We start from the raw sequence: 13,864 nt of genomic DNA, 5'->3' as shown, positions 1-13,864 counted from the left end.
AACTCTTGAACAATCCTCAGTGAGCTTCCGGGTCACTGAACATGCATAGGTGCTGGGAGGGTGGTGTTCCTGGAGAGCACTTGGGAGCTCGGTAGCACCTCCCCCATACCCTGCCCCATCCACCTCTTCATCTGGCTATTCACGAAATGTGCTTCATTGAGTTCTGTGAGCCATCCTAGCAAATTAATCAAACTGGAGGAGTGGGTGGTGGGAACCCCGGTTTATAGCCAGTTGATCAGAAGTATAGGTGACAACCAATTGCTTGCAAAGTGGCAGCAGTCCTGTGGGAGTGAGCCCTCTACTGAGAAGAGCTGGATGGACACTGTGTGAAGGACTCTTAGAGCCCTTTCAAGAGAAAAATGAGCCCGTGTTGTAACTACATGAGGGTTGATCCCTTCAGAAGATTTGATGCTTACAGCTCTCACCCAACTCCAAGCCCCAGCAGCTAGCACCAAAGCATCATCCTGTTCTCTTTGCCTCTGTGGTGCCTTACCCCCAAATCCATTCTCTACACCACGGCCAACGCCACCTTTTAAACAATAAAAATGAAGTCCTGCATCCTCCACAGCTAAAAAGTCTCCAATGGCTCCTAATCTCACTTCATAAATAAACAAATAAGCAAGCCCAGGGGTCAGCAAATTTTTTCTGTAATGGACCACATATTTTAGGTTTTGCCTGATACCGTGTCTGCTGTGCTGTTGTGCGGCAGCGATTGGCTACACTAGTGAGGCCATAAAAGAAACAAAGTTTAAGGCAATCAGTCACTCTCAGGGTCATGCAAGTGTGAAAGTAGCCACAGATGACATGTGAAAGAACAGGCATGGCTATTCCAAGGAAACTTTATTTGGCCCATGGCTGTATGCACCAAGCTCTCACGCCCGTCTTTGCATTTGCTCTTCCCTCTTCCTGGAATGCTCTTCTACAGATTTTTGCATGGATGGCTCCAAGTGCTATGGAACTCAGTAAACAGATTAGACACATATTTGGAGAATCAGCAGGGACCTAAAACAAGAAAATAATTTTAGAAGAGTTTTTAGATATTATCATAAAAGTATTCAAGTAGTTGCCATTGGGAAGAAAGCAGAATTGTGTTGACCTTGTTTGAAATTTTTTTTTTTTCTTTTTTTGAAATAGGGTCTCACTCTGTCACCCAGACTGGAGTGCAGTGGTGCGATCTTGGCTCACTACAACCTCTGCCTCCCAGGCTCAAGCGATTCTCCTGCCTCAGCCTCCTGAGTAATTGGGATTACAGGGGCACACCACTAAAGGAGGAGACCACCCCTCATTTTGTCTTATGCCCAATTTCTGCCTCCAAAGAAAGAAAAAGTAAAAACTAAAATGCAGAAATGAAATCCACAAGCAGACAGCCCGGTGCCACACCCTGGGCCTGGTAGTTAAAGATCGACCCCTGACCTAATTGGTTATCTATAGATTACAGACATTGTATAGAAAAGCACTGTGAAAATCCCTATCTTGTTTTGTTCCGATCCAATTACCAGTGCATGCATCCCCCAGTCACGTACTCCCTGCTTGCTCAATCGATCATGACCCTCTCACGTGCACCCCCTTAGAGTTGTGAGCCCTTAAAAGGGACAGGAATTGCTCACTCGGAGAACTCGGCTCTTGAGCCCCGGCCCAATAAACGCCTTCCTTCTTTAACTTGGTGTCTGAGGAGTTTTGTCTGCGGGTTGTCCTGCTACACCACTGTGCCTGGCTAATTTTTGTATTTTTAGTAGAGATGGGGTTTCACCATGTTGGCCAGCCTGGTCTTAAACTCCTGACCTCAAATGATCCACCAGCCTCGGCCTCCCAAAGTGCTGGGAGTACAGGTGTGAGCCACCACGCACAGCTGTTTGCATTTATTTTAAGGCTTGGTTGATTATTTTTATTTTTAATTACTTGAGTTAGAAGAGAGAGAAGACACTATAATATCACCATGTTTAAGACCTCTAAAGTCTCTCTTTAAAAATAATTGTTTTACACTTTTATTTTAGGTTTAGAGGTACATGTGAAAGTTTTTTTACATAGGTAAACACATGTCACAGGAATTTGTTGTACATATTATGTCCTCGCCCAGGTATTAAGCCCAGTACCCAATAGTTATCTTTTCTCCTCCTCTCCCTTCTCCCACACTCCCCCATCAAGTAGACCCGTGTCTGTTGTTTCCTTCTTGTGTTCGTAAGTTCTTATCATTTAGCTCCCACTTATAAGTGAGAACATGTGGTATTTCGTTTCCTGTTGCTGCATTAGTTTGCTAAGGATAATAGCCTTCAGCTCCAACCACGTTCCCACAAAATACATGATCTTGTTCTTTTTTATGGCTGCATAGTATTCCATGGTATATAGGTACCACATTTTCTTTATCCAATCTGTCATTGATGGGCAATTAGGTTGATTCCATGTCCTTGCTGTTGTGAATAGTGTTGCAATGAACATTCATGTGCATGTAAGACCTTTAAAGTCTCAACGTGGCCCTGCTGGCTCCTCCTGGTAACTCTGGCCTCATGGCAAGTGTTGCCTTCTCAGGCAGTTTCTCCCACTACAGACTTGGTGGTACCCCTCCACACCTATTGCATTTAGCTGTTTCACTTTCTCACAGCATTCAATCACAACTTGAAATTGTTGTGCTCATTCATGTACTTCCTTGTTTATTGTCTTTCTTTTGCATGTGGTCCTCAGAAGCACAGGGATCTTGTCTGTCTTCTTTGTGTGTGCATCTGGCACTGAGTACGGTGCCTGGCACACGGAAAGAATGAAAGAAAACATTTGTTGTCTGAATGAATGGAACAGATGCCTAACTGAAGAAAGCAACAGCTAAAACTGCTTCTAGAACTTGATCTGATTGTAAGTGAAAATCTCTGGTTGTCCTTCACAGAGCCTTAAAAGTGACTTAGAAACCGGTTTAGAGAACTGCATCAACTTTAGCTAATAGAGTTAAATCAATTTAGGTCAAAGCAAATTTGTCAACAGAAGAATTTGGATTTATGCCAAATTAGACTTGGTAGAAAATTTTGCTATGACATCTTCAGAAAATGTTTTCAGCTTTTTATTTATCTTTTATCCACTTGGTCTATTTTCCAAAAATGTTTATTTTTTTATTCCTGCTTTTTAAGATTTTAATTAACCTGTGGCTTATTCTCTAGAGAAACACAGCAATCGAAGCATCTAACAGTACAGACTTTACTGAAATTAAATCAAATTTTCTTCATTTCTATGCATGAATATGGAAACAGTTAAATATGCAGAGTATTCATTTAGCATATAGTGAACAGCTGATTTGTGTCAGGCACTGTGCTGGGCACTGGAAATACTGTGGTGAACAGGTCCCTGCCCTCATACTCCTATGGGAGAGAGACATAAAACACCCATTTAAACAAACAGACAAACAAAAATGTCAAGTTTTAGTAGGGACTATGTAGGAAATAAACAAGGAGCTGAGATGGACAATGCTGACATCCTATTAGGTTGGTGCAAAAGTAGTTGCTGTTTTTGCCATTACTTTCTTTTTTTCTTTTCTTTTCTTTTCTTTTTTTTTTTTTGAGACAGAGTCTTGCTCTGTCGCCCAGGCTGGAGTGCAGTGGCACGATCTTGGCTCACTGCAACCTCCGCCTCCCGGGTTCACGCCATTCTCCTGTCTCAGCTTCCTGAGTAGCTGGGACTACAGGTACCCGCCACCACGCCCAGCTAATTTTTTTGGTATTTTTAGTAGAGACAGGGTTTCACCGTGTTAGCCAGGATGGTCTCGATCTCCTGACCTCAGGATCCGCCCGCCTCGGCCTCCCAAAGTGCTGGGATTACAGGCGTGAGCCACCGCGCCCGGCCGCCATTACTTTCAATGGCAAAAACAGCAATTACTTTTGCACCAACCTGTAGGAAGAAGGCTGTGGCTTCCATGTAGAGAATGGATTGACGTGGTGCAACTGCAGAAGTAGGGATATCTGAGAGAAGGCTGTTGCAGTGAGAAATGATGGTGATCAGAACTGGTGATAGCTGTGGACAGAAGAGGAAGAGGAGAGGTTGGAGTTAAATTTGGCAGTAGAACTGACAAGATTTGCTCGTGACTTTGATGTAGAAATTGAGGATATGAGAGCATATCAGTTAGTGTCCAGTTGGGAAAACAGACATCATTCTAGTATGTCTTTTGTTTTGTTTTGAGATGGAGTTTTGCTCTTGTTGCCCAGGCTGGAGTGCAATGGCACGATCTCAGCTCGCTGCAACCTCTGCCTCCTGGGTTCAAGAGAGTCTCCTACCTCAGCCTCTCAAGTAGCTGGGATTACAGGCATGGGCCACCATGCCCGGCTAATTTTTGTATTTTTAGTAGAGACAGGGTTTCTTTTTGTTTGTTTGTTTTTTGAGACGGAGTCTTGCTCTGTCGCCCAGGCTGGAGTGCAGTGGTGCGATCTCAGCTCACTGCAAGCTCCGCTTCCCGGGCTCACGCCATTCTCCTGCCTCAGCCTCCGGAGTAGCTGGGACTACAGGCGCCCGCCACCACGCCCGGAGAATTTTTGTGTGTGTGTTTTCAGTGGAGACGGGGTTTCACCGTGTTAGCCAGGATGGTCTCGATCTCATGACCTCGTGATCCGCCCACCTCAGCCTCCCAAAGTGCTGGGATTACAGGCATGAGCCACCGCGCCCGGCCGAGACAGGGTTTCACCATGTTGGCCAGGCTGGTCTCAAACTCCTGACCTCACGTGATCTGCCCGCCTCGGCCTCCCAAAGTGCTGAGATTACAGGCATGAGCCACCACGCCCGGCCTCATTCTAGTATTTTTAAATAGAAGGAATTTAACATAAGAAATCAGTCTTAGCAGTGTTGGGAAATTTGGAGGAACCAAAAGGGGAAGATGTGCTAACCTAGAGATAAGTATCTGCAGGAAATCACTACCACTTGAAAGGCAGGAGGAATACCAGGGAGGGGGTGATGTTATCAGAGCCCAGGAGTGTCTGGCATCTGACAGTGCAGGAAGCTGCTGATGCTGCTGGAGCTGGCCACTGCCTGACACCGATGCGGTTGCTGGAACTGCTAAAGGCTACTGGAGCCCCTGCAGCTGCAAGTCACTGCGGCACCCCTTGCCAGAGCCTAAAAACAAAGAACAAAACAAAACAACAACAACAACAACAAGAAAAATGGGTCTCTCATTTCATGCAGCTTCCCACCAGTGCTTCCCATTGGAGCATCTAAGTGGGCCAGCTGGCAAGGGAATCTGGGAAATGTAGTTCACAGGATTTCAGCCACCTCAAGCAAAGCAGTGCGCAGGATGCTGGGAATGGTACTTAGCTCAAACAAGCCAATGGCCAGCCCATGGAGGAGTGAAAGATTATTTTTAAGTGGCAAAACAATCTCATATCCTTAAAAAAGTTCTTTTTCTTTCTTTCAACAAAAGCAATATGTGCCCATTAGAAAAATATTAGAAACACAAACAACAGAACATAAGAAGGTCCATATTCCCACTTACTCAGAAACAACCATTAATAACATCTTGGCACGTCTCTCTCTCTGTCTCACACACACGGACTCTTACTTTATATTCCATCTCATAACCCATTATACTAGATGCATACAATAAAACATTGGCTGGACATTTACTTTGTTCCAACTAGCTTCCAGTGTTATTTATGTTCTACAAACATTTTCCTATTATAAATATTAAGAAAGGCATTGTCTGAAGACAAATTTGCAATTTAAGGAAACCATTTGTGAATAATACAATTGTAACCTCCAAATTGACTATTATGTGATTGTTTGCTTAGGTAAAAGAAGAAAACTATTGATTTTAACTATAAGGTAAAATGTCAGGTCTTACCCTGTTCATTTCCTTTTTCAGGAAGAAAAAACGCCATTAGTAGAATTTCTGAGCTGGAAATGAGCAGGCTAGAGGTGGAGAGGAGCTGCAGCTACAGTCTGCACTAGAACCACCCCGTTGCCCCATCTGGTTTCCATGGAGTCAGACTTCTGATGAGGAAGCTGGTCCTCCGGAATGTGCAGAACGCAAGACACCCAGGCAAAGTGTCTTTAAGGGTAGGGACTGTTCATTATGGCTATGGGATGACCACAGATTTCTTTCGTGTTATCTGTTAGAATGCTTTTGATTGCTAGTAGCTGAAAGCTGTGACTTAATTTGGCTTTACAAATAAGGAAATGTATTATCTCACATAACTGGAAGTCCAGAGGTAGGACAGGCTCCAGGGACAGTAAGATAAGGCAGCTCAGTAATGTCACCAAGGTCCCAAGTTCTTTCAGTACTCTGCTCTGCCTTCCTCCATGTCGGCTGCATCCTGAGACTGGCTCCCTTCATGGGGATGTGACGGCTGCCAGAGGCCACTGGGCTGCCTGTTTCCTTTCTTCATGTGCAGCAAGAAAGAGAAAGAAAGAGAGAGACCTCTCCCTTTAATATCAATTCTCTTCAGTTCAAGCAGGCCAGTAGTTCTCAGTACTGTTGCACATTGAAGTCACCAAAGTGCTAGAGCTGTATTCATTACAGTCATGCTCTGCATAATGACATTTTGGTCAACAATGAACCACATGTAGGATGGTGGTCCCATAAGATTATAATACAGTACTGTATTGTAACTGTACCTTTTCTCTGTTTAGAGATGTTTAGATACACAAATACTATCGTGTTACAGTTGCCTACAGTATTCATTACAGTAATATGTTGTACAGGTTGGTAGGCTAGGAGCTATAGGCCATACCACAGAGCCTGGGGTATAGTGGGCTATGTCATCTAGGTTTGTGTAAGTGCACTCTATGATGTTCTCAACAAGGAAATTGCTTAGTGATGCATTTCTCCAAACGTATCCCCTTTGTTAAGTAAGGCATGACTGTATTTGTTTATTGCTATTATTTTATTTTTATTTTGTTTATTTAATAACGTATTATGTAGCATTATTTTTTCTTTTCAAACTGCAGATACCTAAGGCTTTATCTTCAAAAATATTAATTTATTAATCTGGGGTGGGGCCCAGCTGAGAGTCATTTTTCAGAAGCTCCCAAGTGATTCTACGGTACAACCAGGGCTTTCAACCACCAGATTTGGCTGGTGCAGGTCACCTGCCCACCTCTAGACCACTAACAGTTAGCAGGGTAATGCCATAAACTGATTGGCTTGGAATGGTGGTTCTCAAAATGTGGTCTGAGGCCAGCAGAAGCAGCTCCTGGAAACTTGTCAGAAATGCAAATTATCAGGCCCCATCCCAGACCTACTGAATCAGAAACTCTAGGGGTAAGGCATAGCACTTTGTGTTTTAACAAGCTTGCCAGGTGATTCTAATGGCCAGTAGAGTTTGAGACCCACTGCCTTAGAGCAATCAGGTTCTTTCTCTGGAGGGAGGGAGAAGGTAAATATATGAACAGAAGCAGAGAGGTCTGTCGGAACTGGAAAGTCTAGGGCCAGTGGAGCCTAGCACTACCTACTCCCACTTCCAGGCCAGGAGCAGGAAAGATTGGGATCAGCTACCTGAACCCCAGAGACCCCTGGCTGTAGAAAGAGGGCCTCACAGCAACGGTGCCAGCGACCTTCAGCCACTGACATATACTGTTGAGGAAGGGAAGAAGGCACGTTCTGTAGGTAACCATTCATTTGGACCCTGGGGATCTCGAGAACCGTTTCTGTAGGCCTAAAGGGCTAAGAAGACTGATTTGGTATAAACTTCCCTAAAAACCCTACAGACTTACTTCTACCTCTGCAAACTTCAACAGGATCCAGGAAAAGAAAAAGGCCACTAGGTAAAAAACAAATCTGAACAAAATCAGGACTTTAGTTAATAATGCATCAGTATTGGTTCGTAAATTAGGACACATGTACTATACTAATGTCAGATGGTAACAACAGGGGAAACTGGGTGTGGGGTATAGAGGCACTCTGTGTATCCACCTTCCCGACTTGCCAGTAAGTCTAAAAGTATTCTAAAATAAAAAGTTTACTCCAAAAAAGATGCAATGAACACTGTTCATAGACACAATTTGACACTTTTTATGATCTATGCAAAGGCTTTTTAGACATTTTCGGCTTAAATGAGAGCTGAGTTGGAAAATATTAAAGAACATTCCTGATAATGTCACACTTCCCAGAATCTGCACATGGCCAGAATGATCAAAGAGCAGATGAGAGAGGCTGAAACTTGTCTACGTGCTGAGAAACAAGAACTGATAGAGAAAGTAACTTTCTTTGCCATCCTTTTAGAGCTGAGAAGGGGTAGGATAGCTCAACTCCTCAGAGAGAGAGGGACATAATCAGATCCTTCCTTTTCTAAACCCACTTTATACCAGTGAGCTCCAGACCATAAATTTACTTCATAAGCTTCTTCTTACTTCATCAGCTCCACTAAAATAAATTCATTCCTGCATCCCGAGGGGTGGAACACACACTCCAGCAATTGAGGGGCAGCTTATTCCCAACTGTTCTCCACAGACCTGTGCATCACTGAATTTATGTTGATCCCTGGAAATCCTTGGCCATAATTGGAATGGAGCAAAGAGCAAAACCTAATTTGTAGTTTGGAAAATGACTCTTAATGTAGTGTACTAAATAATTTATGGGAAGTTTTGCTTATCTCCCTTCTGCACCAAATATCAGTAAAGAAACCAATAATTAAAATAGTCATTACAGGTGAAAGTGTTCTAACTAGAGTTACAACAAGAAAAAGAGTACTTAAGGGCAGAAACAGTTTCATGCCAGACACTTGGCTCAAAATGATTCTCCCTCCACACCCCCATGTTACTACATTTGAATCTCTCAAATTTTGTCCTACATTGTTATTCTCTTGCAGAGTGACCTTGGGCAAGTTCCTTAGCCTCTTTATTTCTCACTTTTGTCATCTTCATAATGGAGAAGAAGAATAGTACCGATTTCCTGGTGGTGTTATAAGAATTAATTGAAGTAATGTTTGTAAACTTTTAGCACAGTACTAAGTGTTGCAAAAATGTTTAATGGATCAATAAATAAGGTTGCCTTTGCTCACAGTGAAGTCATGCAAAATAATGATAAACCTTCTGATGATATAGGATGGTAAAAACACACACACAAAATATTCAGATACCAGCTAGGAGGAAGAGAACCTCAGGTATGGCAGTACTTTGATGGAAAAGAAGACATGTAGACATTTTTCATCAGAAATAAAAAAGGACACGATGGAACCTTCCCATATTTCTGTTGGAAATGTAAAATGGTACACCTATTGTGGAAAACAGTTTGGTGGTTTTCCAAAAAGTTAAACATAGGCCGGGCGCAGTAGCTCATGCCTGTAATCCCAGCACTTTGAGAGGCCAAGGCGGGTGGATCACTTGAGGTCAGGAGTTTGAGACCAGTCTAGCCAACGTGGTGAAACCCCATCTCTACTAAAAATACAAAAATTAGGTGGGCATGGTGGCGGGCACCTGTAATCCCAGCTACTTGGGAGGCTGAGGCAGAAGAATCGCTTGAACGCAGGAGGCGGAGGTTGCGGTGAGCCGAGATGGTGCCATTGCACTCTAGCCTGGGTGACAAGAGCGAAACTCTGTCTCAAAACAAACAAACAAACAAACAAACAATTGGCTGGGTGTGGTGGTAGGTGCCTGTAATCCCAGTTACTTGGGAGGCTGAGGCAGGAGAATCGCTTGAATCCGGGAGGTCGAGGTTGCAGCGAGCCGAGATTGCGCCATTGCACTGTAGCCTAGGCGACAAGGGCAAAACTCCATCTCAAAAAAAAAAAAAAAAAAAAAGAAAGAGTTATAAAATTACCATATGCCCCCAAAACTGTATGCCTAGGTCTATTCTCCAAAGAATTGAAAACAGGTACTCAACATACTTATGCATGCATGTTAATAACAGCACTATTATAATAGCCAAAAAGTGGAAACAACCCAAATACTCATCAGTGGATGACTGGATAAACAAATTGTGGTATATCTACGTAGTGGAATTATCATTCAGCCATAAAAAGAAATAAAATCTTGGTAAATGGTACAAAACATCATGCTAAGTGAAAGAAGCCAGTCACAAAAGGTCACAGGTTATATGATTCCATTATTAGGAAATATCTAGAATGGGCAAATCCATAGAGAAGGCAGATTGATGGTTGCTAGGGGCTTGGGAGAGGAGGCAATGGGGAATAACTGCTTAATAGGCACAGTTTTCTTTTGGGGTGGTGAAAATGTTTTGGAACTAGAGAGAGGTGGTGGTTTCATAACATCGCGAATGTAGTAAATGCCACTGAATTGTTCATTATAAAATCGTAAATTTTATGTTTTGTGAATTTTACCTCGTTAAAGTCAAAATGCATACATATATAAATAGGACAGTGTTACAGTTGAGAAGGCAGAAGCATCCCATGCTTCCTCTTCCACTCAACTGAGACTCTTTGGTTTCGTCATCTGTAGGAAAATGAAGTTGAACTAGGTGACCACTAATATCTCTTCCAGTTCAAATTCAAAGGTAAGAAAACTCAACATTTTTCTTTCTCCCCTACTCCTCCACATGCTTGAAAATGACTGCATCTATACTGCAGATGCACACTGGAAGACAATGTTGCTGTAATTAAATTACAGGGAAATTAATTTGCTTTAGTTATTATGGAAAGGTATTTTAATATTCATTATTATGACACAAATTAGTGGACAAATAACTAAAGCAAATGCACTTTAACAATTAGCTTGGGTTTTCCCTCTCTGATGCTCAGACCCACAGCCTGTGCCTGGCTCCAGCCTGTCTGTGTTCCTCCGTGCAATCACACACTCTGATTTTTGCCAGTCACAGTATCTCTGATTCCTCTGCCAAATGCAGTGCTGGCAGCCCTAAGCTGATCGGGAGGTCCTTGATTGATTAATGAGTGCCCTTGCCAAGCAGGGATGGTGCCAAGGGATTGAATTCCTTTCTAAACTGCCCATGCTTTACAACCAACATAATCTAGAACAGTTGTCACTAGGACTCACTTAGACTATTGCTCTAGTTATAACGAGTTACAATTTTACTGTGAAATTATTGAAATATTATTTGAACAGTAAACTAAATTTACCCACTCCTGGGATTTGAAGTCTTGGGTCAACATGTTCATTCTGGAAGGTGGTTGTATAATTTTCTGTATTTTACTGACCACCACCCCTCTACCAGTGATTGCAGGTTTCCATTCCTTTGTAAATTCCCTCCTTATCGTTCCTAGGAATAAGGTGTATCTACAAAAAGCCTCCAGCTAGAAACATTTCAGCTAGTTACTAAGGATTATCTGTCACCTTCCCCCTTTTTGATTCTGTCCCTCTTCAGGGATATCTACTTCTGAGATTTACACAGTCCCCAAAGCTGCAAAATGCACGACCCAATGCCAACCAGGGTCTACATTCAGGCTGTCTTAGACCAGGTTTCTCCTGGTCACCCCATTATCCATAGTGCCCCTGGAGGAGATCACTGCAGGAGGCAAAGCAGTTCCTTCTGTGCAGGGTTCAAGCAGAAGTAGAGAGGAGGGCTTTCCTCCTTTTTGGTACTGCACTCCATTTCACTCCTTGCTGCAATTTTTTTTTTTTAAGGCTAAATTTCACTTTTGTCACCCAGGCAAGAGTGCAGTGGCATAATCTCAGCTCACTGCAACCTCCACCTGCTGGGTTCAAGTGATTCTCTTGCCTCAGCCTCCCGAGTAGCTGGGATTACAGATGCCTGCCACCATGTGTGGCTAATTTTTGTATTTTTAGTTGAGGCGGGGTTTCACCACGTTGGCCAGGCTGGTCTCAAACTCCTGACCTCAGGTGATCTGCCCACCTCGGCCTCCCAAAGTGCTGGGATTACAGGTGTGAGCCACTGTGCCTGGCCCTTTGCTGCAATTTAACAGTCCTCCAGTTTTCACTTTATGTCTCTGGCTCCCACCACTCAAATGTCCACTGCTCAGATAGACAAAGCTGAGAGACAAATGCCCTGTAGAACTCCTAAGTTCTCCCTCCACTGGCCTCTAAGCTTTTGTGCTGGGTCAGGCTAATTTGCTTGACTCTTTTCCAGTGACTTCTCTTTGGGGAGGCTCCCCAGCCCCTTTTGCAAATAGATCCTTCCAGATAAGCCCAGACATACTGAATCCCAAGTGGAGGCTGCTATGGCTCAGGGTCAGACATTGAGTTCCCAGTAACTATTTATTAGCCATTCACTATGTGCTAAACACTGGGGTTCCAAGGATGATGGTCTCCTCTCATCATGGAGCTGCCTTGGGAATTTAGACAAGAGCTCTTTGAGCAGTGATGGCCTTTACCCCAAGGAGGGGTACCTCCTGCTCAAAGGTAATACCAAAGGTGCCAACTAATCACTGACTTGGCAGAGAACCTCTCTCAATATAACTAGAAGTTTCATCAAAGTTTCTTAAGCACTCCACCATTGACTGCTCTCCTTCACCATCCCCCAGGTTCTTACTCAACCACGTGCCTCTGTCTGCTTCTTTCCAACTTGTAGCAGCACCTTTCCTCTTCTATTCTTTGTTCTTGTCCTGGATGTCATTCCCTTTCTCCCCTCAGAGGCAGAGAGGAGAGGGCTGCTGGAGGAAGAAGAAAAGTGAAAAAGCTGTAGAAATTTGCTTCCACAATAAACAATACCCGAAAAACCTGTACATTCTTTTCTTCAACTTAAATGAAGAACCCAAGTGTGCACTCATATGAAGTAAAAAAGGTGCAAATAGGCCGGGCACGGTGGCTCACGCCTGTAATCCGAGCACTTTGGGAGGGCGAGGCGGGCGGATCACCTGAGGTCGGGAGTTCGAGACCAGTCTGACCAATGTGGAGAAACCTCACCTCTACTAAAAATACAAAATTAGCCAGGCATGGTGGCGGGCGCCTGTAATCCCAGCTACTTGGGAGCCTGAGGCAGGAGAATTGCTTGAACCTGGGATGCGGAGGTTGTGGTGAGCAGAGATCACACCACTGCACTCCAGCCCAGGCAACAAGAGCAAAACTCCGTCTCAGAATAAATAAATAAAAAAAATACAGTTCCTTTTTTTTTTTTTTTAAAGAAGTACAAATAGCTTTGCATGCAATTTATGAATTTTTTCCTGATTCTGATCGCTGGTGTTCAGTAGGAAAGGGAATCAAAACTCCATAAAGCAAATCAGCTTATCTGTAGATAACCAAAGTCTTCTCAGTGGTGTCTGTCCCTCTTGTGAAAGTACAGCTGCTTGTGGGAAAAGTGAGAGACCTAGAATACAGTGTATCTTTTGGGGGACATACCTCTGACTGTTACAGAAGCATGTGATTAATTTGGAAGGTAGAATTTCGGAACATCATATTTTAATAGGAAGCTTGAAAGGTAAGTAGAGGAAAACATCAAGCAAAGCAAAATACACCATTTGCAGAGTTCAATCAGATATGACTCAGCATTTCTTCATTGTGCTCATCCCCAGCTCCTCAAGCACATAGTGCCTTGCACACAGTAGGGGCTGAGGGAAATATTCGTTAATGCATTAATTTTAGTTAAAACTAGATACCTCCTAATCTCTCAGTGGCTTGAACTGGGTCAAACAGCAGAGGAATGGGGTAAATAAGGAAAGACACCCGGTAAAGGTAGAACAAGACCACTGCTTAATAAATATATTCGTTTTTGGGGTTATTATTTTGCTCAAAAGTCTATGAGGTGACCAACCCAGAATGTGGCAGTTAATTCTATTTACATTTTCAGTGTGGGATCCAGGTTTTCAAGTTTGTTATGTGATTTTATGCAAAACAATATGCAAATCCAGCGCATTCTAAAAATTCAGTCTGCTTTCCAGCCGCTCCCCTGGTCACAAACAACTAAGGTTGGCGCCGGGCTCTCTGGGATCCTTCGCGGAGGGGCAGAGCAGGCGGGGGTGACTGGCAGCGGGGCGGGGGAAAGGGCGGTCCCGGAGGCGGTCCCGGGGCGGAGCCCGTGACGCGCGGAGTCGGCCGG

The 13,864-nt window shown here is 43.6% G+C and overlaps 2 long non-coding RNA genes across 2 annotated transcripts in view, besides 2 other annotated features; one reads left to right on the top strand and one right to left on the bottom strand.

The window, feature by feature from the left end:
- Window positions 1-6,100, top strand: part of LOC102724945 (uncharacterized) — a 244,858-nt gene extending 238,758 nt beyond the window's left edge. Inside the window, exon 9 of the long non-coding RNA XR_001750942.2 lies at window positions 5,825-6,100. This is a non-coding gene — a long non-coding RNA (uncharacterized LOC102724945). The remainder of the gene's footprint in view (window positions 1-5,824) is intronic.
- Window positions 565-1,066: an enhancer, noted in NCBI's record as "H3K27ac hESC enhancer chr14:34433111-34433612 (GRCh37/hg19 assembly coordinates)". NCBI's record gives its function as "activates a minimal SCP1, AML or CMV promoter by ChIP-STARR-seq in primed H9 embryonic stem cells {active_cell/tissue: H9 hESC(primed)}" and the evidence as "EXISTENCE:reporter gene assay evidence [ECO:0000049][PMID:30033119]".
- LOC105370446 (uncharacterized) lies at window positions 822-5,889 on the bottom strand. The gene is made up of 2 exons (XR_943737.2): window positions 5,804-5,889; window positions 822-1,002 (listed from the first exon to the last, which is right to left on the bottom strand). It is a non-coding gene; the product is annotated as an uncharacterized LOC105370446 (long non-coding RNA).
- Window positions 13,760-13,839: a silencer, noted in NCBI's record as "silent region_5660". NCBI's record gives its function as "represses an Ori minimal core promoter by ATAC-STARR-seq in GM12878 lymphoblastoid cells {active_cell/tissue: GM12878}" and the evidence as "EXISTENCE:reporter gene assay evidence [ECO:0000049][PMID:35858748]".

The sequence above is a fragment of the Homo sapiens genome, chromosome 14 (genome assembly GCF_000001405.40).
Source record: "Homo sapiens chromosome 14, GRCh38.p14 Primary Assembly".
NCBI lineage: Eukaryota > Metazoa > Chordata > Mammalia > Primates > Hominidae > Homo > Homo sapiens.
Note: the sequence above shows the minus strand (reverse complement) of the source record. Positions and strands in the feature narration are given on the sequence as shown.